The sequence below is a fragment of the Homo sapiens genome, chromosome 3, assembly GCF_000001405.40.
Source record: "Homo sapiens chromosome 3, GRCh38.p14 Primary Assembly".
In the NCBI taxonomy this organism is placed as follows: domain Eukaryota; kingdom Metazoa; phylum Chordata; class Mammalia; order Primates; family Hominidae; genus Homo; species Homo sapiens.
This window is the reverse complement of record NC_000003.12, coordinates 52,056,968-52,082,296: the sequence shown is the minus strand read 5'-3', so window position 1 is coordinate 52,082,296 and position 25,329 is coordinate 52,056,968. Positions and strand designations below refer to the sequence as shown.

At 56.8% G+C, this 25,329-nt stretch overlaps 1 protein-coding gene and 1 long non-coding RNA gene across 9 annotated transcripts in view, besides 5 other annotated features; both read left to right on the top strand.

Moving 5' to 3' along the window:
* POC1A (POC1 centriolar protein A) overlaps nt 1–7,071 on the top strand; it is a 79,198-nt gene extending 72,127 nt beyond the window's left edge. For all 8 annotated transcript variants that reach the window (XM_011533561.2, XM_011533560.2, NM_001161580.2 and 5 more), the window contains one exon: nt 6,312–7,071. In XM_011533561.2, the coding sequence (XP_011531863.1) occupies nt 6,312–6,410 (99 nt within the window). In that variant the 3' untranslated portion in view covers nt 6,411–7,071. The remainder of the gene's footprint in view (nt 1–6,311) is intronic.
* Nucleotides 2,995–3,914: an enhancer, noted in NCBI's record as "H3K4me1 hESC enhancer chr3:52112399-52113318 (GRCh37/hg19 assembly coordinates)". NCBI's record gives its function as "activates a minimal SCP1, AML or CMV promoter by ChIP-STARR-seq in naive H9 embryonic stem cells {active_cell/tissue: H9 hESC(naive)}" and the evidence as "EXISTENCE:reporter gene assay evidence [ECO:0000049][PMID:30033119]".
* Nucleotides 11,075–11,576: an enhancer, noted in NCBI's record as "H3K4me1 hESC enhancer chr3:52104737-52105238 (GRCh37/hg19 assembly coordinates)". NCBI's record gives its function as "activates a minimal SCP1, AML or CMV promoter by ChIP-STARR-seq in naive H9 embryonic stem cells {active_cell/tissue: H9 hESC(naive)}" and the evidence as "EXISTENCE:reporter gene assay evidence [ECO:0000049][PMID:30033119]".
* Nucleotides 13,767–14,360: an enhancer, noted in NCBI's record as "H3K4me1 hESC enhancer chr3:52101953-52102546 (GRCh37/hg19 assembly coordinates)". NCBI's record gives its function as "activates a minimal SCP1, AML or CMV promoter by ChIP-STARR-seq in primed H9 embryonic stem cells {active_cell/tissue: H9 hESC(primed)}" and the evidence as "EXISTENCE:reporter gene assay evidence [ECO:0000049][PMID:30033119]".
* LINC00696 (long intergenic non-protein coding RNA 696) lies at nt 17,185–20,203 on the top strand. Its single transcript, NR_027331.1, has one exon. It is a non-coding gene; the product is annotated as a long intergenic non-protein coding RNA 696 (long non-coding RNA).
* Nucleotides 19,396–19,525: an enhancer, noted in NCBI's record as "active region_19926". NCBI's record gives its function as "activates an Ori minimal core promoter by ATAC-STARR-seq in GM12878 lymphoblastoid cells {active_cell/tissue: GM12878}" and the evidence as "EXISTENCE:reporter gene assay evidence [ECO:0000049][PMID:35858748]".
* Nucleotides 24,666–25,025: a silencer, noted in NCBI's record as "silent region_14430". NCBI's record gives its function as "represses an Ori minimal core promoter by ATAC-STARR-seq in GM12878 lymphoblastoid cells {active_cell/tissue: GM12878}" and the evidence as "EXISTENCE:reporter gene assay evidence [ECO:0000049][PMID:35858748]".

Below are 25,329 nucleotides of genomic sequence, written 5' to 3'. Positions count from 1 at the left end.
CATCGCTGACATCACCCTGGGTCCTGCCAAGGCCCTCAGCTCCCCTGCGCTGGACTCTGCTCTCCAGCCTGCAGGGCCCTTGTGGGTCCACTGCCCTCCCCACTCCCCCCTCTTCCTTCCCTCCTCACCCACTGGCTGCCCTCAATAGGATCCTCAGTAATCCCAGTCTTAAAAATGCAGTGCAACTCTGCTGCTGGCTCAGGCTTCTCAGACCACCCCATGCCTGCCAGACCCTCTCAACATTCTTGGGGGTCCTCATACTCAGCCTGTGTAATCTGGAGCCCGTCTTCTGCCTCTCCTGCAGGGCCAGTCCTTGTCTTGTGTTCTTGGCCTTGGAGCACATCTCTCTCAGACCCCCATCTAACTCGTCACCAGGTACTGGTGCTTCGTTCTTTGTGGCTATCTCTGGTTCTGTCCACTTTCCTTCCTGGCTTCTCCTGCCCCCAGTCCAAGCCACTGTCATCCCCTCTCGTTCTCTCTTGCCTGCACCTCACCTTCCCACAGCCATGAACCCACTCCCAGACTGTCCCTGTGTAGTAGCCAGAGGAGTCTCAAATCCCCTCAGCCTAGCACCCCCCAGCACCCTCCTGCTCTGAGGGTGAAGATGAAGCTGCTAGGCATGACTTGCAGAGCCCAACCCCATCTCCTGCCTCCCCTGAGGCCCCCTCTTCTTGCTCCAGCACACGTGCCTCCTATGGTCCATCCCTCCCGTTTCTTAACCTTGGCCAGCTCAGGGCCTTTGCACACACCATTCTTTGGGTCCTGATCCTCTTCCTGCCCCTCTTGCCCCTCCGTCCCAGCAGTGCAGCCCACTGTCTATGCGCCTGCGTGGCATCTGCCTCGTTGAACTGTGGTGCACCCTGTGGGCTCAGCCGAGTCTGCGTATTATCATCCTGGGCCAGGCACAGGCCAGCGTTGGGGAGGTGCTTTGTGAGAGTTTGAGTAAGGGAAGAGCGAGGGCAAGGGTCAGCAAATTTAAACAGTAAAGATTTTAGGCTTTGTGGACCATACAGCCTCTGTCAACCTGTCGCTGGACCCAGAAGGCAGCCAGAGACCATACGGAAGCCAGCAGGCGTGTCCATAAAACCTTATTTACACAAAGGGGCAGCCGGCCGTAGTTTGCTAACCCTTGGTCTAGAGAAACAACAGAATACATTCGATGGCAAACAAGTGATTTTAAGGCCAAGGCTTTCTTGAGAAGGGCCATGGCTTCCAGGAAATTGCTGGTAACAGAGTAGGAAAAGGGTTCAGAAATGAGCCCCCAGGTGAACCTCGGCAGATGTGACTTTGAAGATAAAACTTCTGGAGCCCTGCTGACCACACCCCATGAGGCTTCCTGACACTGGCCATGAGGGCCTTGACTTGGGAGGCGGACAGTATCGGGTGAGGAGTGACAGTGCCCAGGCCATAGGGTCCTCAATCCGGCTTCCTGTCACTCCGATTTAGGGAGAGAGAGGTACCTTGTTTAAAGTTGAACCTTGTCTTCAGGGGATGGGCCACCCAGCAGTGACCCAGGCGAGTTCCACAGCATGTTTTGGGGCTGATCACTTAATGCTGCAGTGGCACAAGTGCCAGTGAAAGAAGCGTTGACAGTGAAGTGATTGGGGCAGCTTCTCGTGGTGCATCCAGGAGGAGGTTCTTGTCACTATGTCCTTTCGGTTCCTATAATATTGAGTTTTCATGGCTCACATGAATTATCCTTATGACCTTTGTAATAATTCCAAACCTAAATGTTTAGCCAGGTAAGAGACTGCTTTTCAGGGGGAGGTGACACATGAGGCCTGACAATGTGAGGGGGTGGGTGACCCTGGGGGCTGTCCATTCCCACTGTGGCTGAGGTAGGAGTTTCTGCTCATTTAATTCAGAGCAGCTAGGCCAGGCAGCCTAAACCAGGACAGCAGGTGCTGCTGCTGGGTGAGGACAGGGATCCCCTAGTCTTTCCTCAGGCTGCCTGAGTTTGGGCATCAGGGCTGGAAGTGGGATGGGACACCAGCAGGCCTCTCCTTTGGCATTCTTGATGGGGACAGAGCCAAGATGCACACTACCCAGTGCTTTAGTGTGCTCACTGCAGCCAGGCCACCTAGGCTCACAGCCTAGGCTTGTCACTGATAAGCTGTGTAACTTTAGGCAAGTTACTTAATCTCACTGTGCCTCAGTTTCTTCATCTGTAAAATGGGGATGATAAAAGCTCCCACGCTGAAGGTTTGTTGAAGTTTTTGGCACACACGAGCGTCCCGTGAAAGTCAGCTGCCAAGAGAAGCCCACAGAGCAGAGGGTCAATGATCAGGGTGAACCGCCCTGAGCCCAGTCCCAGGACCTCCTGCTGGTCCCCCTCATGTTTAAGCTCCACACCCCAATTACATGGAGGACTTAAGAATGTTCCCAGGGTAGCACCAGGTCCAAGGAAAGGGAATGAGCTGCCTGGTTTCTCCAAGGTCAGCAGACAGAAGGGGCCGCACTGTGGAAGAGTTGGACCCCAGCAAGAGGGAGTTCTGGGAGATGGGCCATCTTTCCTGGCCACTTTGCCCAGGCTGCCCCTCTAGCAGCCAGAGCCCTGGACTCCTCAACCCCTTCGTCAGTTTCCCTTTACCCTGCCCCAAAGCCAGAAGCCATGGACGCTTGTGTCAGGCAAAGCAGTTTCCCTTGTTGACACCTGGCACCTGACACAGCCTGTACCTCTTTGGGGACCTTCTGAGGGGCTAGGACCAGACCTCTGGCCCCTGCTCCCCTGTACAGAGCACAGGGTGAGAGGCAGTGTGATCAAGGAACTGTTTGGAAGGTCAGCGCTCATTTTTCCTTGAATAAATGAAAGTCGTGGCTTCCAGGCCATGGAGTGTGGACCCGGGGAGGCCGCAGAGGTATTTGCCTGCAGAGCGCTCCTCCTCACCCTCCAGGGCAGGTGTGGCCTTGTCTCCAGCCTGGTGAGGACAGGCGCTGGTAGCAGGATAATTCCCGGGCTGGACGGAGCATGAGGCGACGAGAGCAGCCTGCTTGGCTGGGCCCCGCTGGGAGTTGGGCCACTAGGCAGCAGGTGGAAATGGCAGTGGCCTGTGTACACCGAGGTAGCATGTATTTTCTGAACCCTCGTATGGGTATGTGGGGATGTGCTTACTTTTTGTTGTGAACCGACAGGTAAAGATCATATACATTCTGAACAAGGCCACGTGATATGGCTCCAAACCAGTCTGTGCCAGGGGTACTCCCCACACACCCCTTCTGCCACCTCAGATGCTCTCCTGCCCTCCTCCCACAGCTCCCGTGCAGCTGGGGAAGCACGGTGGCACTGTGATGGCCTGTCCTGGCTGCTCTGGGCCTGTGGCCCAGACAGACTCCCTGCAGGTGGCCTGCCAGCCCTCCTGCCTGTGTGTGCCACCAGCCCTGAGTGTGTCTCCACTTTGCCACTTGGATGCCCAGTGGGGCATTTCCATCATGGGGGAACCCCTTCCTTCCCCTTGTAGAGGGAAGGCACACCAGCAGCATTTCAGATTTCCATGTTTCAGCCGGGCGCAGGGGCTCACGCCTGTAATCCCAACATTTTGGGAGGCTGAGCCGGGCGGATCACGAGGTCAGGAGATCGAGACCACGGTGAAACCCCGTCTATACTAAAAATACAAAAATATTAGCTGGGCGCAGTGGCGGGTGCCTGTAGTCCCAGCTACTCGGGAGGCTGAGGCAGGAGAATGGCATGAACCCGGGAGGCGGAGCTTGTCGTGAGCCGAGATCGCGCCACTGCACTTCAGCCGGGTCGACAGAACGAGACTCAGTCTTAAAAAAAAAAAAAAAAAAAAAAAAAGAGATTTCCATGTTTCACTGTCTATGAGGAGTCACCATTTTCTGTGAAAATGAGGTCCTATGCTTTATTAAGAAAATTTGATTTTTAAGAAAAATATAAAAATTTTTAAGAAAGTAGGATTTTTTTTTTTTAACTACATGGAGCAAAGAGTGCCAGACAGCATTCTAATGTACAGAAATCCAAAAAGCATCCTGCTCTCCCAGGCCTTCTCCTGGCTCAGAGTGGGGGCAGCTGGGATCACGTGTGCTGGGAAGGGCCTGGTTGGACTTCTTTCTCCCTGATGGTGGCCACCACGAGGCACCTTGGCAGAGAAGGAACAGGGGAAGCTGAGACCAAACACAGAGATGACACAGCTCCTCTGAAGCTAGGCTGGAGGGGGAGAAACTGCCTTGAGGGGTGTTGGGCCTCATAAAAGCCTGTTTGTCTACTGTGCTGTGAAGTGATCCTCAAAGCTCTCAGAGGAAGGCCTCAACGGGGTGGCACCCTTCATGCAGGGGGCTGGTTGTGAAACAGGTGATGCTTCTCTTTTCAAATAATTTAGACACATTTAGTGGTCACATTCCTACTGAGCTGAAGTATGGGCCCCCTATGGAACTAAGTGGAGTCCCTTGTATTGACGTTGGCCCAGCACCTCACCCACGTTTTCTGGGCCCACTATCTCCACGTTTGCAAATTGGGTTCCTGTGAAAAGTTTCAAGAAAAAAAAAAAGGCAGAAGAGGAAAAACAGGCTCCTCTGCTGCGGCCTTGAGTTTGGGGCCATCGGAAAAAGTCTGGATGAAGAATGATTTTGGCCCTATGAGTTTCACAGCAGCCAGTGGAAACTTCCAGGAATGCTGCCCCGGGCCAGCCAGGGGCTGTTTCCGCTGCCACTTTTACGAGCTGCAGACCCCCTCCCCGGCTGGCTGGCCAGCACAGGGGGAATGTGATGGTCTCTTTCAGCTCAGCTCTGCCTCTTAGGGTGCAGTTTGTGTTCCATGGGCAGCAATTTTTCCAGGCTCTGTCCAGTGACAGAGGGTTCAGAGCCCTCACAGCCCTGATTGGCCCATTTAGAAGGGGCCAGCCACCAGGCGGAGCACCCTCCATGGCAGCTAATGTCTGTGCCGGACGCTGCAAGAATTTATAGCAGCCTTAAAGGGGGAGACTCCCTTCTAAAATGTTTCAATGTTTTATTAAATGTATGAAAGAAAGTTTCCTTTCCACTGGACCAAGGCCCAGGACTTCATGGAGCCCCAGGGAAGGGGGCAAAACCTCTTGGGAAAGCACACGGGTGAGGTTAATCTGACCCTCCTGATGCCTATGGGCTGCACAGTACCGGAGTCAAGGCTGCCATACTCACATGGGCTCATCCATTGGCCAGCAGGGGCCTGGCATACAGTAAGGCACTCAGCCAACCCTAAAGAGGGAAGTGAAATGATGCCAAAGGCGTCATGGCCAGCATGGTCCAACCCGCGCAAGTGATGAGTGGGGCAGGCTTGCTCTGGTCCAGCCCCTCTTTGGGGAGCATGCAGGCTCCCAGACAGTGCTGCCCCTCTGCTGACACTCTATCCAAAGCCAGAGGAGGAGGGCAGCTTTTCCCAGCCTGTCTGGGAGCTATGTCTGCAAGACTGGCCCTGGCCCATGAAGCACATGCAGCTCCAGCAGCTGGGGGCCTTTGGCAGGCCAGGCAGCCAGGTCCGCAGGTGAGCCATTGTGCTGGGTGTGTAAGAGAGGCCAGGAGAGCAAGGGCCCAGCTTCAGGAAGGCAGCATGATCTGCCTGACAAGCACTCTGACAAGCATGGTCAGAGTGAGCAACTGCTGGGCTGCTGAGTTACCTAGGCCATGAGCTTGGTTGTCTTTCGCACTGGGCGAAGGAGGAGAAAGTGGGCTCAGAGAGATGAAGTTGTCATGGCCTGTGATTGCCCTGGGCTGAAGTCCCACATGACATATCCTATAGTAGTATTCGTTGGACTTGGACAGGCAGAGACCCTCCTGGGATCAGGGGACTCACCTCCCTGCCTTTGTCCCCTGCCAGCCTGGGAGGCTCTTCCAGGTGTGAGGGGAAGGACCCAAGTGGAGTGCCATCATTTGTGGGTGCAATTTTCTCACCTCTGGAGTGGAGGTGGTTGATGGTCTCCAGTTGTTTATGGACAGTGCCTGGCTCAGACAAGGAAACTGGTTTTGCTGCAGAACTCCAATATAAATGCCAGGCCACCAGGGTGGGGGGTTCCTGACCCCTTGGTTCTCTTGAGAAATGACCAAAGGCTATGGGACCTGCCATCTAGTTTCCCTCACTGTGTCCCCACCCCCTGCCCACAAACATTATAGATCAGCCATCCAGAGCCAGGAGAAGCAGACATAAAGGCAAGGGCTATCCCAATAGCACCAGAGACAAGGGGCCTGGCAGAACCCCTGGGTGGAAAGAGCCAGCTGGCATTTGGGCAGTGGCTGAGGCAGCCAAGTGGGGACTGGCCAAGGGGGTCCCTAGAGCAGCCTGGCGGCCCTTCTGTGTTCTGACCCAACCACTGTTTATTTTGCAGACAGTCTCCATTCTGGAGCAGCGGTTGACACTGACAGAAGACAAGCTGAAGCAGTGTCTGGAGAACCAGCAGCTAATCATGCAGAGAGCAACACCATGATCAGGGGAGCAGGAATCAGGAGCTCGGTGGATTTGCAGGTGGCAGGCCAGGGATTTGTACCATGGGACTTGGGTAAATAAAGGGGACTGAACTCTGTGGGAATCACATCCATACTGGAGCCCTGGATTTTTGCAGTTCTGCCCTCCACCTTGCTATCTGCACCAGGAGGCTCTCCACCTGGCAGCCAGAGGTCCCCAGTGGGCCGGGCTCACACACAAATGATGCTTCAGACCCGAATGAGAGGACCACATTTTGCTTAATGTAAAGGAGCCACTTGAAAATGTCTGCTCCTTCGGGGTCCTGAGATTGTGGCTCCCCCTCTGGAGGAGGTGGCTCCACGATGCCTTGATTTTCACTCATCATTTGGACATGTGACTGGCTTTTCCTACCTCTGCCATGGTGTAGAAATTGATTGCACATTGATTGGATGAGCCGGGGGTTTTCTCTAAATCTGACTAAAGGCCCAAAGTGGGCCCATCTGAGTCAGGTTTGTTGAGAACAAGCCCTCTCAAGTGGGTGGTGGCTTTTCAGTGGCCCTGATTTCTGTTCCACACGTGTTCACTGGAGCCAGGTGACTTCCTCCTTGCGTGAGTGAGGGCACAGGAATCTCAAAATTAAACCTGACTTCATTGCACTTGTTGCAGGAGTGGCTTATGCTGGATGACACTTAATCAATCTTCCCATCCCCAGGGCCCAAACAGAATGAGAATGGTGACTTGGGACGGCCTCTGCCAGGATTGCCTCTGAGGCCAGGACCCCCCTGTTTGCAGCTGTTCAGGGTGTCGGGGAACAAGGGCAGTCAGAGCCCTTGCATGCACCCACCTCCCTCTGGCTGGCCCCCACTGACTGCTTCTGTTGGGACTCAGAGGCCTCAGGCACCCAAGTTTCCATTTGCTCCTGAGGGCTTCCATAGGGTCCTCCCTCTGCCCCTGTGCTGGGGAAGCCAGGACAAATGTTTTCCCTGTGTCTGTGTGTCGCCCGTGCCTTCCGTCTTCAGCTTCTTGGGGCTCAGCCAGCCAAGGAGGTCTTTATCCTCAAACACACCTGCCCTGCCCTGGGGAATGGGAGGTGGTGTTAGATCGTCCCAGGAGCTGTCAGTACCACGTGGTCAGTGGGTTCACAGCCTCTGCAGCCTCCAGGTGGAAGCAGAGCCTGCATGCCTCAGAGCCTGGACTGACTAGAGGGCAGCTGTGTTGAGTCCTGATGACGGGACGCTTTCTCTGGCCTACACTGGGTGGGGAGGGAGCTGCCTGTTGCCAGCTGTGTGACCTCAACATTGTGACCTAACCTCTCTGAATCTTGGGTTCTTATTGTGTGAAGTGGTTGTGATACCCTCCTCTGGTGACAAGGTAAGCAATGCACTGTGCTCAGTGCAGAGCAGGTGCTCAAGAGAAGCCCATCCCCCATCAGTCCCCCAGTGGGACTCCCCATCCCCACCAGTCCCACTGGATCTACAGGGTCTGCTCTCAACACCATCCTCCCCCTGCACTGTCGATGGGAAGAAGCTGCGGGCTCAGGGTGCTCTGGCAGCTGCTGGGACCTGCCGCACTTTTCCCACGTGGCCCTGCCGGTGTGTGGACGAGCCTGGCAGGCCTGCTGGTCCATGCTGGCAGGTAAGTCTCTTGGCTACCTCAGGAGGCTTTGAAGTAGAGTCTGGGCAACTGCAGGTCAGCCTGCTAAGAGGAGGTGCAACTTATGGGGCCAGCCGTGTCGGTTCCCTCCCATGCCAGCCCTCCTGCCACCAGACCAGCACTGGGCTGCCTGTTGTGGCTTCCGGACCTGGGCTTGGACCTACCATGGGTGGAGATTCTGATGATTTGAGCAACCAGCCCAGGGCAAGGTCATCTCCAGAGACAGATGACGGCCCCTCTGGGGGCAGCAGGACATGTGCAGGGTCTCCAAGGCGTTGTGTGGCAGGTCTTGCTCTCAGGCCAGACCGAGGTTGCCATCACCCCTGTCTTCAGTTTACACCAGGATCGAGTTTGGAATCTCTATGAAATCCACCTTTCTCTGCTGGAGGACATGTGGAGTTGCAGGAGGTGGTCTTAGGGGTAGTGGTGTGGTATTTGTCCCTGATTGTTGACTGCCAGTGGAAGCTCCACTGGTTACTAGATGTAAGGGGTCAGGAGGAAGGACTCACTCCCACACACTTCTTGTAGTATGATATCGGCGTGTCCTGGGACAGCCTGACGTGGGCTGTCCAGATAGAGACAGGCCAGAGCCAGCGCCAGCGCCAAGCTTGGATAGGCCCACGCTCAAGCCCCATGGACTGTCAGAGGGCTCTGCTAGAGTGGTCTGGGTGTCCACGCCCACACCCCTCCCTTGATGGAGCCACCAGCCAGACCTGGAATTTGTAGGCAGGATGTTCTTCTTGGAATGCTGCTCTTTAAAACAGCACAGGCCAGGTGCGGTGGCTCACGCCTGTAATCCCAGCACTTTGGGAGGCCGAGGCGGGAGGATCACTTGAGGCCAGGAGTTCAAGACCAGCCTGGCCAACATGGAGAAACCCCGTCTCTACTAAAAATACAAAAATTAGCCGGGCATGGTGGCTCACGCCTGTAATCCCAGCTACTCAGAAGGCTGAGGCAGGAGAATTGCTTGAACCCAGGAGGCGGAGGTTGCAGTGAGCCGAGATCATGCCACTGCACTCCAGCCTGGGGGACAGAGCAAATCTCCGTCTCAAAAACAAACAACAAAAACAAAACAGGACAGAGACTGCCTCCACCAAGCCAGGGGGTCAATGTGTATCACCATGCTGAGGGCAGAGCTGGGGGTGGGGTGGGTGCCAAGGCTCTCACCTGGGGCCTGAGTTCTTCTTGAGTTCCTTTTCTTGCTCATGCGAGGCTTGACTCAGGACCTCACTGCTCTGAGTGAGAATCTGGTGGGAGGGAAACGGGGTCCTAGGCAGCTGTGACTGCTGTGGGCATTGTCCCTCTAGCCTCAGTTCTGTACCCTCACCCCCTCCCCGTGGAGATGCTGCAGGCCCCCTGAGCTACACACCACACTGCCTGGGAGTGTAGGGCCCTCACAGGCAGCAAGGAGTGTGGGGCCTGGGTGGGCTTGAGGTGGCTTGGCGAGGTGTGGGGGCCACATGATGGAGCTTTCTTGCAGAATCTCCCTAAGCGACGCTCTGCCAGCCCTACCCGATGGCTCCCTGTAGCTGGGGCTGCTACTGATCCCCCACTCTTGCTGCCAAGCACAAAAGCAGCCCTTCTGGAAATGCAAATGGCTCGGCTCAGCCGTCATCTCTCCTAATTTTGGATTTGGTAACTGAGCTCTCAGAAACCAAATTGCAGGAATCTCTTTTGTGTTAGGAAGATGAAGTTAGTTTAGCATTTTTGTCAGTAAGTGCATATCAGCAGCAATTCCCCATCGTTTGCCTCCCCAGCGCCTTCATGCCCTAATTTTCCCAATGTGAAATAAAAGAATAGATGTCTGTGATTTAAACTGCAGCCTGCTGCCTACCATTGTCCAGTTTCTGTGGGTTCCTGGGATAAACCTGCACTTCCTGCTGGAGAAGCTGAGAGGTGGCTGAGATGACCAAGGCAGGCAGCTTGCAGGTAGAAGCCATCAAGTCCAGCCCCGGCCTGTGGCAAGGCTTTCCGCCTCTCACCCAAGTCACCACACCCTGGGAGCGCCTGACAGGCTGTGTCGAGGGGTTGCCACAGGCTTGTGGCCACCTAGTCACCCACTTCAGAGACTCAGGTAGCACATGCCAGCCTGCTGTGGGAACTCTGCCATCCTGCCACCCAGCACAGTCCTTGGCCTTCTGTCCTGTGATTTGATTGCCACAGCATCATGACTTCTCAGTGGTGGGTGGGCGGGGGGGTGCTCTGTGGGGCAAGGGCAAAGTGGTGAGGTCAGGAGGCCCCCAACCCATGGCCCAGGTCCAAACCCTCGCTCTCTCCGACTAGTTCTGTGACCTTTTTGGGCCTCTATACAATAGTGCTTGTGTCATTGGGCACTCACTACAGTGGCTGGTGCAAGTTAAGTGCGGTTAGTGTGTGACCATTGGTGTTATCCCACCACTGGCCTGGCGAGTCAGGCCCCTTCCCTGAAACTTGGCCCCATGTGCCAGTGGGGATGGTGGGGGGGCTCGTGGTCCCAGGGTCCCTCTGGCTTTGTAATGTTAGGCAGCTAGAGTTCTCATCTCCTGATCCCATGGCCCCTGCCATGGGTGTCCCCGGTGGTGAGAAGGGATTGGGCCCCTCCCCACCCGAGAAGGCAAGCACTCTAAGGCTATCTCTTCTGCTGTCACTAAGGCCACCTCTGGGGAGAGCACAGGCTTGAGGGTGGGTGTTTGTGATTGCCCCGAATCCTGGAAGTCCAGCCCACTGAATAAGCGAGGGCATGGTGAGTCACACTGGTCCTGTCACCCCAGTGCCCTGTCATTAACCTCATTTCCGAAATGATTTGCTTGAGATGGGCCCCTGATGGCTCCAAATTTAATTGGTGTGTGGTCATTTAAGGGGGAGCAGAATCTCCCTAGAGAACCCTTGGGGGTTCTCTCCTTACCACCCCTGTTCTGCCCGCCCAGGCTGCTGAGGAAACCACACGTGCTAAGGCAGCGGTGGCAGGCCAGGAGGTCCTGGTGCCCTGGGGCATGGCTCCACTTCCTGTGAGCATTGCCGTCCTGGAACAGGGCCTCTTCCCATTGCCTGGTAGGCTCAGCCTGCCCCAGCCAGGCCGCCCTGGCACCCTGGGTTCTCTCGCTCGGCCACTGTGGGGAGTGCCTCCCTAGAAGATTCACCCTGCCTCCGTGACCCATGGGGCCCCCACGGCCATGCTCAAGACGAGGCTGAAGCCAGCCCATAGAGCCTGCAGGAAAGTCATTAGGAAGCGCATCCCGTGCCAACCTCTCCTCCTGCCAGGAGCTACCCGTGTGGAAACACTCTCCCAAGAACCTATTTATAGAGCAAGGCCAGTAGTTGTTTTCACTTTAGGTGAGGCCATCTAGAGCCCTGTCCGCCTGGAGTGCTGCTTGCGGCAGACACTTCTGCCCCTGCCGGCTCTCTCCTGCCACCCATGAGAAATCGGAATGCTGGTACGAGGAACATTGGCAGGAAAGGAAGTGATATCTTGCTACAGCTTCCTTTTCTCAGCCCTAGGCTTCTCTTTTAGGCACCAGCGTGTGTTCCTGAAAGTGGGACTTTGGCATCTTTTGTGGGTACCCAGTGGGCAGAGGCCTGGCCTGCAGAAGCCAAGGCCCATGCTGAGCAGTGTCACTCAGCCACACATACTGACGCCAGCCCTTGTCCGTCTCCATGCTTCCCAGCTTGGCATCTGGACTCAACTTTGAAGTCAGGACTGACTTCAGAGACATGGGCGGCCTGAGCACCTGGGCCCACATTTATCCAGCCCATGTCGTCTTGGTCTCCAGCCTGTCTGAGGCCATATGTGCCCTGCAGATGCCCTACCCACCTGGTATCTTCTTCCAGACCTCTGCCCTCCCTGGCTAGGCTTGGGCAGGGTCCTTGCCTTGACCTGGAAGTTCTCTCTAGAACCATCCAGCTCCCTCAGAAGTTCCCATGGTGCCCACGCCACCTCTACACTGGGCCCCTCAAACTCTGACCCCAGCCACAGCCACCCCAAAGACATGTCCTCGTGCCCAAGGTTGGAATGGGAGTGCTAGCCATGCTCTCTAGGGCCATCACATCCCCCCTCTCCACCCCAGCTCAGGTCCCAGAACCTCCCTCCTAAGACAACTTGCGCCTGGATTTGTTCCTCAGAAGCCTCTGAAACTTGAAGCAAGAGAAGCAATGTAATTAGTCCTCCCTGGCCCTCCAGGCAGCAGCACTCATGCGCCTGCTAACTGGAAACAGAAGGTACTTTCTGTTGCAGAGGCCAGCAATGGCCCATATCTAGGCTGCTGCCCTGAGCCGCCTTGGCTGAAACTGTGAAGCTGACCTGTGCTCCCAGGACTGCCTCTGCTTCTTGGGGTTGGGTCCAGCTCCCCAGGTAATTACAGTGTGTCCAGGAATAGGGCCACTGTGAAGCCCCACCGTGGCCCTTTGAGAGGTATCCCAAAATCTCCTGTTGGGGATAAATGCCTCTGGTTTAGGGGAGTCTCAGTTCCATGGTCCCCTCTGGTGGGGGATGGAAGCCTCAGGCTGGGACAGGTCAGGTGAGCATACCTCCAGCCGCCCCACCTTCAGGCCTCCCCACCTCTTAGGCCATCTGGAGCGAGACCCTCAAGGAGCCAAGACCTGCTGAGATGTTGCCTGCTCACTTCCTACCTTGTCTCCCACTTCTGCCCCCAGCCCACCCCATCTGTTCTCAACACAGTAGCCAGTCTGCTGAGATGCAAGAGTAAAAAGTAAGAACACGTGTAAAAGAGCTCATGCCATCACTGCACAACCTCGCAAGCAGTTCCCAGCCTCCTCCAAGTACAGGCCACAGGAGTGCTCCCCACACATGAGGCCTGCTCGGTTTTGCCCACCTCTACCCCCTGTCTCTTGCCCCCCTCCCCTCATTCTTCTCTAGCCACACCTGCCTTCTCACTGTTCCTTGGACACACCAGGCACATTCCAGCCCCAGGGCCTTTGCACCTGCTGTTCCTGCTGCTGGGAATACTCTGACTTCACCTCTCTGTGCCTCGGCCTCCTCATCTATAACATGGGGTAAGAGCAAAAGTGACCCCATAAGACTGCTGGGAAGACTTGCTGAGACAATACACACAAAGCACTAAGAGCTGGCACTGTCCCTGCTGGGCTGCAATCGGTGGCCCAGGGAGATGGGTGGGAATGGGAGCGGATTACCAGCTGGCTACAAGGCCCACTCCAGGATCAGCCTCAGCTGCTCGGCTGGGCCAACCTGGGGCTCAATCAGGGCTCCTGGGAGTGGGAGCCATTGTGCCCTGTAAGGCCCTTGGACTTTGCTCAGTAACTGCCATGGGTCTTGCTCACTGGATACCCCACCCCACGTGCCCGCGTGACTCCTGCACAGCCTTTTCCTACTGAGGCTTCCAACCACCAGGCCAAGCCAGGTGCCTCGCCCAGCCCTATAGGACAGGGTGCGAGAGTGGGGCCGCCTCTCTGCCGGTTGCTGGCTCAGAGAGGCAGAGGTGGTGTCAGGGCTGGAGGGATCGGTGGCCTCGAGGCACCATGGCCTCTCGCGTAGGGTGCAGGTGGCTGGGCTGGATTCAAATGTGCATCTCACTGTTGGCTGGCCGATGAGATGTGGGGTGGCTTTCTCATGCCCCCACAGACCCTCCCACCCACCTAGTTCTATCCTGCCCCGGCTAGTGGCTCCGAACCCCAGCCAAGCAGAGCCAGGGATTTGGGCTTTTTCTGTCTGAAGGAGAGGAGTGGGCCTCTAAGGGGCCTCTCCCACCACTCCCGCAGCAGACCACTGGCCTGGGGGCCTCCTGCAGGGGCCTGTGTGCCTGGCAGCCAACCTCGCTGGGGATGAGCACCAGAACGCCTGGGGATAAAGTCTTCTCCTCCCACCTCCTGCTCCCTTCCTCCCTCTCCCTTCCTCCTGCCTTTCTTCCTCCTCCTCCACAAACACATGTTTCCAATTCCCTCTCAGGCCCCCTCTCCCCTCCCCAGCCCCTTCCCATTTCCTCTCTGAGGCATCCACTAGCATGTGGAACTCATTAGGAGACCCTCAGGGCTCGTAACCCAACTCTGGCCCAGGCTTGGGGAGGGGGCCCTGTCCGCAGCCCCCATGCTGAGCCACAGCGGCTTCCCCACATCTGGCCCCTGTCTGGCCCTGTGCAGTTACAGGCTGGAAAGCACAAGGAGCCAGCCGGTGCCGGTGGAGGAAGCATGGCCTGGCGGCCAGCTCATCTCACTGCTCTCCTCTCCAGCCACGTCCCGGCGCCTGGTGAGACATCTTAGCCCCAGCAGCTGGGCCAGGGTGGTTTCTGATCCCACCGGGGCAGCTGGACCTGTGTGTGAAAAGCAGATCCCAGGGCCACTTGAGCAGGCCCAAGGGTATGGGGTTCTGAGTGATGAACTCGATGGCCCTCAGCTTTCCATCTGAAAAATGGGAAGGGAAGTCCAGGGAAGAGAATATGGTACGTAGAACAGCCACCAGGCAACAGAGTTCCACATCCTCCCTGGAGGACACAGTGAAGGCCCGGTTCCATGGGCTGTTAGCGGAGGTTATGCAAAACAAACTGGTGCTATTGTCACCAGGATTTGGGAAATGCCAGGATGAACAAAGTAAAGACAACCACTTCCCTGAAGGATTGTCAGAGCCTTTAATACACTCCCATGCAGTGCAGCCACTGGGCCATAGAGTTCATGGTGTTTCCAGACATTTGACCACATGGTCCTTTTTATTGCAGCATACCTGGCAGGCCTGGGATTCTACAGAACCCACTTTAGAAAATGGTACAGAAAGAACAGTGAGGAGGCAGTAAGGATGGGTCAAAATCCCACAACAGGAAAAGCTCCCTGAGTGTCCCATCAGGAATTGTTACCTGCTGGGTCTGAGCAAAGGGTAGGAATTGATGGGGGTGACAGCAAAGGATGGGTGAGCAGGAGCCAGCGGGGGCTGGTGGGACCTCACTTGAGCCAGCTGGGTCCTGGTGACCCAGAGTTTCTCCCTACGCTGATGTTTCTTCCCCGTGGGAGAAGAGCAGGTGAGTGGGCCGGCATGGGTGCAGAGGCTGGCAGGCAGGGCCTTCCCCAGGAGATGGGACCTGCACGGGCAGGCCCAGGGTGTTGGGAGTGTCCACACTACTCTCCTACTGCGACATCAGCCTTGGGATGGGCAGCCCCTGGCTCTAGGCTTGGACGAGCTCCTTTGTCCCCATTTCCCTATGGGGGCCAGCCTCTCTGCTTAGAGCCCCGTCTGCCCACACTGCCTGGCACAGCTGCTCACAGGCCCCCTCTCATCCCTTTGCTCCAGGGGGCTTCCCACACGGAGTCCTTGACTACCCCTAGGTCCTCTCTCTACTTTCTGGGCACAAAGAGGTTGAGCAGAAGGCAGGACCAGGCTCTTTACATAGCTCATCTGCTGCCTTGCAACACTCTTGCCTGGTAGACTGAAGCCCCATTTTATAGACCAGCGGTCCTCAACCTTTTTGGCACCGGGGACCAGTTTCGTGGAAGACAATTTTTCCATGGACTTGGGCTGGAGGCATGGTTTCGGGATGAAACTGTTCCACCTCAGATCATAGGCATTAGATTCTCATATGGCGCATGCAACCTAGATCCCTCTCATTCGCTGTCCACAATAGGGTTCGCGCTGCTATGAGAATCTAATGCCAACGCTGACCTGATAGGAGGTGGAGCTCAGGCGGTTCTCCACAGCCCGGGATCTGGGGACTCCTTATAGAGGAAGAAACTGAGGCTTGGAGAGGGGAGGCCAGTGGTGGTCAAAATTGGAGCCAAGTGTCTTGGTCAGGCTCCCCTATCTCCACCCCAACCCAATCTTATCCCTGCCCTGTCCCAACACACATGGCATACTCACACCTTGGTCACCTGAGGGCCACATAGGGCTGTCCTGCTATGCCTGGCAAAGGGCCTGCCAGGTGGTCAGCACTTGACCTTCTCTGGCACAGGTGGGTCAGGCCAAGGCCACTCCTGCTGCCCAAAGTGCATAGGGGTAGTCGAGGGCCCATACCCAGCCACTTAGGACAAAGAGGCCTTTCCTTTCCCTCTGATGGGCCCAATGTGGAACTTCCCTGGCTGCCCCATAGTCCCTGGGAGTCAGGGGAGGCAGAAGGTACTGCCCTGCTTTATAGATGGAGAGATTAAGGCCCAGGGGCTGGGGCACTGCAGAGGCCCCCCAAGTGTGTTGCAGGCAGCAGAGCTGTGTTTCCCCAGCTCCATGGGCTCCAGCTCCTTGGGCCTTTTTGTTGTTCCTGGGAGCTCCAAGTCTGGGTAGTGCCCATGGCCTGGGGAATCCAGCTACCCCTCAGACTGAGTTCTTGGGCCGGGCCTTGGGGCTGTGGGCTGGCTGATGCTTCAGGGTCTCTGGGGAGGTCTCCAGCTCCAGCCAAATGCCTCCCAACACTCTTCAGCCCACCAGCCCTGGGCTCAGCTGCTCCTAGGGCTCAGGCTAGAGGGTTGTCCTGTTGGAGATGGGTGTCAGGGCAGTGCTGTCCTCTGCTGGGAGACTACGTAAGCCACGGGGAGGGGCAGGGAGGTGGGCAGGGGCCCAGGCAGAGTAGGCCCTTGTCCATCCTGTCCCCACCTTGGAGGGCCCACTAGGAGCCCTGAGAGAGCCATTGAACTCCTCCCTCCTCGAGGGCCTGATCTTTTCAGGAAGGGAGTCATCCAAGTCTTGAAGCATGTGCGCCTGTGGCCGGAGTCAGGCTGGGTGGGGCCAGGGCAGGAAGGGGAGTCCTTAGACTATTTCCTGCTGTTGCCTACCTGGGAACAGTCCGCATCCAGGTCCCGGCAGGCAGCTGGCCAGCTGAACCACGTGGAATGGTGCTGGGCTATGAGGCCTCAAGCCAGCAACCCTGCACCTGGGCCAGGCCAGCCGGCTCCCAAGCCATTTCCCAGCTTCGTCATGGTCACCCTCACTGTCACCATCAATGCCTCATAGGAAGGATTCCTGAAAAACGGGGCCGTGTGGGCAGGCAGGGAGGGGACCAGACAGGCCCAGGCAGCAGGCAGATGCTAATGAGGCAATTAAGCCCCTGGCACATCCGCCCACGAGGTGCCATGAGAACTCCTGGCCTCTTTTGCCCTCCCCGCCTCAAAGGTTGGACTGTCTTCACTGTCAGGAACCTCCCACTGCCAGCTCTGCCAATCAAAAAACCATAGGTTGGTTTGGCAAAGATAGAACCAGGGCAACCCCCAGCCCCATCACTACTTCTTGCCATTGCTCTGGTTGAGCAAATGCCTGCCCGAGATGTCTTCTCCCCCTCCCCATCCCCTGCTCAAACCACCTGGGCTCCAGGCCCTTCCTGGCAGAGGTGGCCTTCGAAAGATCAGAAATTTTGAGCAGGGGGCCAAGAGTGCCATGGTGGCCACGTGGGCATGCAGCTAAGGATTCCTGCTCCTGCAAAGCCCTGGCTCCCATCCCTCAGGCTCCCAGGTGGGCTCATGGCGTGCAGCCCACAAGCCCTGGAGTGTAAGGCAGGCGAGAGATCATCCCAGGGCAGAGATGCTGAGGATCGTGGGGAAGGGGATGCAAGAGGCGAGGGTGTAGCCCTCACCCGTGGCTTTGGAGCAGGGAACCCAGTCCACCTGGGTTTATCTGAGTCCTTTCCCCTTCTCCTCTGCCTGCCTCTGAGGCCCGAGGACATCAGATGCAGCACACCTGATTTCCCTGGGCTGTTGAGTGTCTTCTCCTGGCTCTCTAGGGATGACCTCCGTGTCAGCAGATGGGGTGCCCAGGTGAGTCAGAACCCCTGACCCAGCCCAGCCCCTCCTCCAGGCTTGAAGGGGGGTGGCGGTGGGGTATAGGACTAAAACCCAGGCTTAAGACCCCAGGGACCTTCAGGTCCATGAAGAGGTGGGAGTTTGGGCTCATTCTGTGGAGGACGGAGGAGCTGTAGCTGGGTGGGGGAAATCAAGGGCTATGGTCCAAGGCCAGGATGAGGCCTGCCAGGCAAGGTGCCAGCAGGTCCATCCCTTCATGTCAGGGAGCCCTCTGGCTCCAGAGACTCTCACTGAGTGACTCTGGGCAGGTCATACAGAACAGGCTGAGGCCCAAGGAGGGAATGGAAGTAAGAGGCTTCTGGAATCATCGAGTATGGCAACGGAGGGCCAAAGATGTTTTGTTTTGTTTTGTGGGTTTTGTTTGCTTTGGTTTTTTGAGACAGCCTCTCGCTTTGTCGCCCAGGCTGGAGTGCAGCGGCATGATTATGGCTTACTGCAGCCTTTGCCCCTCAGGCTCAAGAAATCCTTCCACCCAGTGTCCTGAGGAGCTGGGACTACAGACATGCACCACCACACCCAGCAATTTTTTTTTTTTTTCCTGTAGAGATGGGGTTTCGCCATGTTGCCCAGGCTGGTCTCGAACTCCTGAGTTCAAGTGATCCACCCACCTCAGCCTCCCAAAATGCTGAGATTACAGGTGTGAGCCACCACGCCTGGCCCCAAACATGTTTAAATCATAGGACCATGTGCTCATGGCTGACAACACAGAAGAGTCTAGAAGTAGGCCAGGGTTCCAATCCTGGCTCTGCCACTTCCCAGGTGCCCACTGTGGCCCTCAGAGGATGAGTGGGTTTGGGGGACAGAATAAGAAGGTAGTCAAAGGCGAGAGCTGGGAGAAGAGGGTTTCAGAAGGGGGATCAGTGAGGGCAGAGGCCCTGCAGAAGGAGCCCGGGCTGGGGAAGTGCGGGTGAGAGAGTGAAAGCTGCTGGAGAATCCAGGACGAGGAGAAGAGGGAGGGGAGGGGTCACAGAGCATCGTGTAGACTCTATGCAGAGTGTAGACTCTATGCTGGGGACAGTGGGAGGCTGTGGAGGAGGAGAGGCTGCCTCCACCTTCTCAAAAGATCCCTCTGGCTGCTGTGTGGGGAATGACTGTCGGGATGGAGGCAGAGGCCTGGAGAGGAGGCACGGGAGGTGGTCTAGGGGAGAAGGGGGAGAATCTGGGCTGTGTAGTGGTGGCCAGATGGCTTCTGAAATTGAGTACTGGGATGGATTAGCCATCTCTGTCATGGAAGTGGAAAAGGCGTTTGGTAGCACGAATGTTCTGTGGAAGACAGAGCCCTTCTCTTTATGGGCATGCACAGCTGCCTGTCCTCCCAGTCTGTCTCCCACCCTGCTAGCGCTGGGCCTCCCCAGAGACGGGAAAGAGCTGGCAGAGCAGGGCTCCCTGTGGACTGTACTTGAGCCTGGAGGAGACTGGAGCCACAGTCAGAGCCAGCTGGGAACCCCTGGGCGCGGGAAAGGAGCTCTAGGTTTTTAGTCTGGAGCCCAGCCCGCTGCCACTGCTTGATTTGTGGCCATGGGCCTCAGTTTCTCCATTTGTCAAATGGGCTGGCAGTGCTCCCAGGGCTGATGCAAAGCCTGGATTCGAGGCCAGAAGGAAAGATGTTTTGAGACAGATGGGAGTGTGCAAGCCCATTAAGCCCAAGACAGCCTGTGTGGGAACTCATCACTGGGAGCCCAAGGCGGGCATCCACCCTCCCTGCAGACCGTCCTTCCCACTTGCCCATGTTTATGTGTTTCCTTCCCATCACCTGGGCCACCATGACTCACCCCAGGCCTGGTGGGTGAGTGAGTAACTGGCTGGGGCTGGAGCCAGGCCCTTGGGCAAGACACTTCCCTTCCTGGGCCTCAGCTTTCCTATCTGTAGAACGGCCAGACAAGTCCTGCTCTGCTCACCCCACTGGGGAATCCGGGGTGAATACAGGGCTGAGGATGTGAAAGCAAGAGGCTGCAATGGAGTGGGGACAAAGCAGGGTGTGGCCTTTCTGCAGGAACAGAAACCAGGCCCTCTCGACATCAGTCCCAACTTGGCTCCCAGCAGAGTTTTAAATGCTCATTTGCCTAGGCTGACCAGCCCAGCAGATCCCCATTGCTCTGAGGGGGGACCCCATGCCTGGGAGAGCTTGGAATGGAGGGCAGGGTGGGGCCCAGGACCTTGGTGACCTCATGGGAGATGGGACTTCAATGATGAAAGGGAGGCTAATCTAGGGGAAGAAGCCACAGAGGTGAAGCCCCACCCTAGACCCTGCAGGCTGAGGTGCCCTTAAGTGGGTAGAGGGTAGAAAATGCTGGACTTGGCCCGGTGCAGTGGCTCACACCTGTAATCACAGCATTCTGGGAGGCTGAGGCGGGAGGATCACTTGAGCCCAGGAGTTCGAGGCTGCTGTGAGCTGTGGCCAAACTACTGCACTCCAGCCTAGATGACAGAGCAAGACCCTGTCTCAAAAAAACTAATAATAAAAATAAAACAAAATGAAGTAAAATGCTGGGCCCCACAGGAAAGGATTAGGAGAAGGTGCAGACTGTTGCAATGAGGCAGGGAAGGCCTCCTGAAGCTGTGGCCCCTAAGAAGCTGGAGATGATTTCAGAGGGTGGGGGCATGGAATGAAGGCACATGTGGAGGCAGGGGCACTGTATCTGGCACACAGTGTAGGGAGCAAGCAGGAGAAAGTCAGGGTGAGCTGAGCTAGCGGTGGGGACAGGGAGGGCATAGCTGGTCTGGCTATGAACTAAAACCTAAGCAAATAGGTTTTAGCTTTCTTGCCTATGACAATCAGCTGGTCATGCCTGCTTGGAAGGGTTTTGAGACCAGGGCATGGCTCAGCAAGAAAATGTGCTGTGGTTGACTAGTAATGTCTGCCAGGGACAAAGCATGGAAGAGCAGTAGATGTGTGTCCTCTGTTTTCCATCCTTGGGCTGGCCCCTTGGGCTGTGATTGGAAAGGTACACCCTCAAGTGAGTGACCCCAGGGACTCCACGTGGAGAGGCTGGCCAAGGGCTTGCCCTGTCACTGCTGGGTGGGGAGCTCTGAGAGAGAAGAATTATGTTGGTCTGTGCCATCTGAGTCCCCCCTTCACTGTCCTGCACACTCCCTGGTATGGGGCAGGTGCTGAGAAAATGTCTGAGAATGAACAAGGAGGCTTCCCTCTTGGCCGGGCTCTCTCCTCCCTCTTCCCTTTGCCTTCTCCAAGCAGCCTTGGGGATTCCCCACAGATCTCCCAGGCCCTTGCTTCCGTCCTGCCATGTCTTGTGCTCTAATCATCCTGGGTGTGACCCACTTTTCTGCCAGGGCTACTTGCTCCCCCAGGCCCTGCACTCTCACCAGGTCTGCCCTGTACACCTGGGCAGGAGAGGGAGCAGATAAATAGGCATGTGGCTCCCCCACCCCAGAGCTGTCCCAGCTTTCCCACACTACACTGCCATTACCCAGGGCCTGGCAGGCCCCTGCTGGAAAGGCAGGGGTGGACCCCGGTTCCATCCAGAACCTGTTGCTATGGAGATACCAGCAACAGCCAATAGGACAATGTGAGCCTAGGTGACTAGAGGGCTGAGGGGAGAGGACCGTGCATCCCGCCAGCTTGGTAACCACCCCTCTGGAGGACATGTCTGTGGGTATCCCCCAATAGGAGTGGCGAGCGCCCAGATGTGGGTCTGGAAGCGTGTGTATCTACATACAACAGAGTGTGTGTGCACGTGTATTGTGTATTTTTGCACACATGTATAGGTCCTTATCTGTGTATTTCTGTACATACACTTATGTGCCCATGAGCATATGTGGTTATATGGGTAGGACTATGTGTGTTGGTGCCTGTGTTGTATGTATCCTTACATGTATATGTGTATGTGTGCAGCCAGGAGTTCTATACAGGGCAGAGGAGTTGCCATCCCTTCACAGTCCTCTCCTGGCCTGGCTTAGATGCTGCTGTCTGAACACCGGCCCAGGCAGGCACCCCACCAAGGGTTGGGGAAGAAGCTGTCCCAAAGTTCAAGGGCAAGCAGACCAAGTCTAGGTCTCAGCAGGCCTCCATCGGAGCACCTCTCCAGCCTGGTGGAGCTGGTCTGGGCAGAGGCTGGCTTACTCTCCAGCAACAGGCACCAGAGACTGCTCAGCCCTTGCTCATCCCTTACAGTGGGATGTGAGACAGACCCATAGTAGAAAGCTGCCTCCTTAGCTTAGATTTGTGCCAGCCTCCTTAGGACCAGGAGGGCAAGGAGCTGACCCTCCCCTCGCCTCAGCCTGTCCATTAGAAGCATGGTGGCCCGTTTGCAAGAAATCCATGGGCAGTAGTGGGAAAAGGTAAATCTGTTTCTTAGGCACTTGAACTGTTCTGATGACACAGCTCCTTGGTCAACCAGCCATATGAATGTGTGTGTTGGGGGGAAGGGGGTACATACTAGCTCACATCTGCTCTTAGGGACCCTCAGCTCCTCCCAGAGGAATAGCAAAGGGCCATGAAACATACCCACCATGGCGAGGCCTTGTGCTGCCAGGAAGGCCCCTTCTCTGTGTGGTTCTGAGGTTGGATGTGTGCAGACAGGGAAGGCAGCTCCAGACGTGCCTTGTGGGTTCAGGCCTGGCAGTTGGCTGATCGCGATGAGAAGGGATGGCAGGAGGAGCAGCAGGCTTGAGGCAGGGCAGACTTGCCCCTGGGCGTTCCGGGTGACCAGTGTGGTGTGGTAGTGGATGGTGTTGGGTGGTGGACAGTGACTGTGATAGGGTGCAGAGCAAAGATGGGGTGAGGAGGGGACGGGGTCCTTGGAGCACCCAGCAGGGAAGCTAATCTGGGCCCGGATGATCAGAGGAGGCCTCTGTGCTCAGAGACTGAGCTGGGATCAGAAGGCAGGCAAAGGCTGAGGATGAAAACTGTCCAGGCAGGGGAAATACCTGTGCAAAGGCCTGGGGCTGTGTGGGAAGGAGGGACAGCCCTCAGAGAGTTCAAGCATGTCCCACCTGCACTTCCCCTCTCCCTCCTGAAACAAGCTCATCCCCAGGGACAGAGCTTTTCCAGCAGCCTCTTTCCCACTCCCCCACCCTGCCCCTCAGGGAGACCCTAGTGAGCTGGACACCCCTCCTGGGAGCTGCAGGTGAGGGAAGGCCTGAACCCTAAAGGCAGGAAAGACCACATTTCTAAAGAGGAAGAATGATTCCAAGGCCTTGGAATCACCCAGGGCACCAGGTTGCTGCCAAGAACGACCCTCTCCCTTGAGGGAAGCCTACAGCTGCCAGGCAAGGCCCCGGACAGGGACAGCTCTGGTCTCTTGCCATGTGACCATAGGCGAGTTCCTGCCCTGCTCTGGGCCTTGTAAGTCTGGGATTGAGGGTTCTTCCCCACAGTGAGAACCAAGACTTAGGGCCTTTCCTCCAACCTCCTCCAACCTGCCCGGTGGGGGCCCAGGGTCCTGCTGGCACATCAGGGGCTGGTTAATTTTCCTGCCAACCCTTTGCTTCCACTGTCACCCCCTCTCCACATGCTCCCCCTTCTCCTGCACTCATCCAAATCTGCCTCTCTTTACCTCCTTGTTAGAGGACGCCCTCTCCTCCTGCTGCAGGAGCTTTTCACACATTCTCACAGATCTCTCCTCCAGGGTGTATCCCCCACTACAGGAGTCTAAAGGGAGAGAGACAGGAGTCATTGCAGGCTAATGTGAGGGATGGCGGGACCCCTTTCCTCTCTCTAGGGTAGTTCTTCCTCATGCCTGGGTAGTGGGGGCTGGGGAGGCTCAGAGGAGGCTCCCATTTCAGTTGTTCCCTTGCTAGTGAGAGCAATGGCCCATTCCTCACCAGGCACTCAGAAGCGAGTATGCTTCAGCGCCGTGGGACACGCGCCCAGTCTCACTTGAGGACAGCATGAGCCTTCTGTTGATGTGACTCTGGCCTGCCCCTCAGGGATGTCACCCTGACTTATTGGGCACTTGACACCTTCTTGAGCTACCATGGACCCGTCTGGGGAGGGAACACCAAGACCAGTCTCTGCCCTAGAGAAAGAGGGGTCTGTGTTCATCCTGTGGTAGGCCTGGGAGAGCACCCAGACCGGCATCCAACCCCATGGTGGAGCAGAGGGGAGAGGTAGCCAGGCCTGAGTGGAGGATGGAGGCTCCACTGTTGTCACTCCGGCTCCAGGCAGGCTGGTACTCAGGAGGCCCTCAGCAAGGCTTGCTGAGTGAATGGTGCACTGCTCAGCAGCTCACCCTCCCCTGGGAGTTTGCTCAGGCCTCTTTTTTGAGTGCTGCCTCCATCCCTGACAAGCAGCATCCAGCCTGCCAGCCGAGAGGCCTGTCCTCAGACCACGTCCTCCCAGCCGGATGGATTCATAGACGGATTGGGCTCAGTCCACACTAGCACTCTCCTACACTGGGAGACCCAAGGCCCAGAGGGAAGAACCATACTAAGGTCACAGGACACACCTGCAAGTGGCAGGACAGAATCTGGGTCTTGGCATCTTGGGCCCTGGAAGCTCTTTCCACAGGCCCAGGACCCCCAGGACAACCTTGGGCGGAGAGTTGCTTCTCCTTTCACACTCTGAGAATGTGACTGTGGGAGAGACCCCTGCTCCTTTGGGATACAGCCCTGTGGCCCAGGATGAAACTCTTCCGAAAGACTATCCCTCGCTTGAAAGACAGGCGGGGACTGCTCCTGAGTCACCCCTTTTCGTGCCTTCTGGTCAGAGGTTAGCGGAAAGCTCAAATCCTCGGGGTTCCAGAGGCCGTCCCTCAAGCACCACCGCTCCCCCAGTCAGGGATGGGGGCAAGGTGTCTCAGAGCCGACCAGCCTCGGGCGGAGTCGGGGGGTTAAGCCCCAAGGAGGGGCACCCCGCCAGGCAAAAGAATGGACCAGATAGACGGCAGGGTCCAGCCTCAAGCTGCCACCCTGGCTCCGTAGGGAAAGCACTGCAGGTCCTACGCAAGCGCGCCGCCTGCGTCTAGCCGCTTTGTTCTAGCGCTACCTGCGGGTCCATTCACCTCCGCTGCCCCGCCTGCCTGCAAATCGACACACAGGGCGGGCGGAGGCCCCGCCCACTTCCCCGCCCTGGGTGGAAACCGCGGCGGGCCCCGCCTCCCTCCGCCACCGCCTCTTTCGGCCAGGATTGGCCATCTGCATGGCAGGCGCCCGCCTACCGCGGAAGTTGATTGGTCCGTTGAGAGGGAGGCAGGGGAAGGAAAGCTGATTATAAAGGAGCATTCCCCTCCCACCGGCCCCGTGGAAAAAGTCACGTGGCGCTTCACTGGGCGCCTGTCACCACCCCGCTTGTAAAGCTTTCTTAAAGGGCTCGCGATCCCTTCCCAAAGCTGGTCCTTTCTAGGATTTCTCCACACCTGCCCACGGAAGGTGGCACGGCCCTGAGTCTTCCTACCCCGCCAGTTGCCCAGGTCCTGATTTCCCATCAGGCCTGCTGGCGTGAGACGCTCTCCCTCAGGTCTGGAGCCTGTGACCGTCAGGGGAACGATGAGGTCCTCTGAAACGGTGACCGCCTAGCACAGTGCCTGGCACGTAGTAGGCGTTCAGTTCTCATTTGTTGAATGAACTCGATGACAGAAAAAATGAATGGGATGACAGGCGGGAGGAGGAGA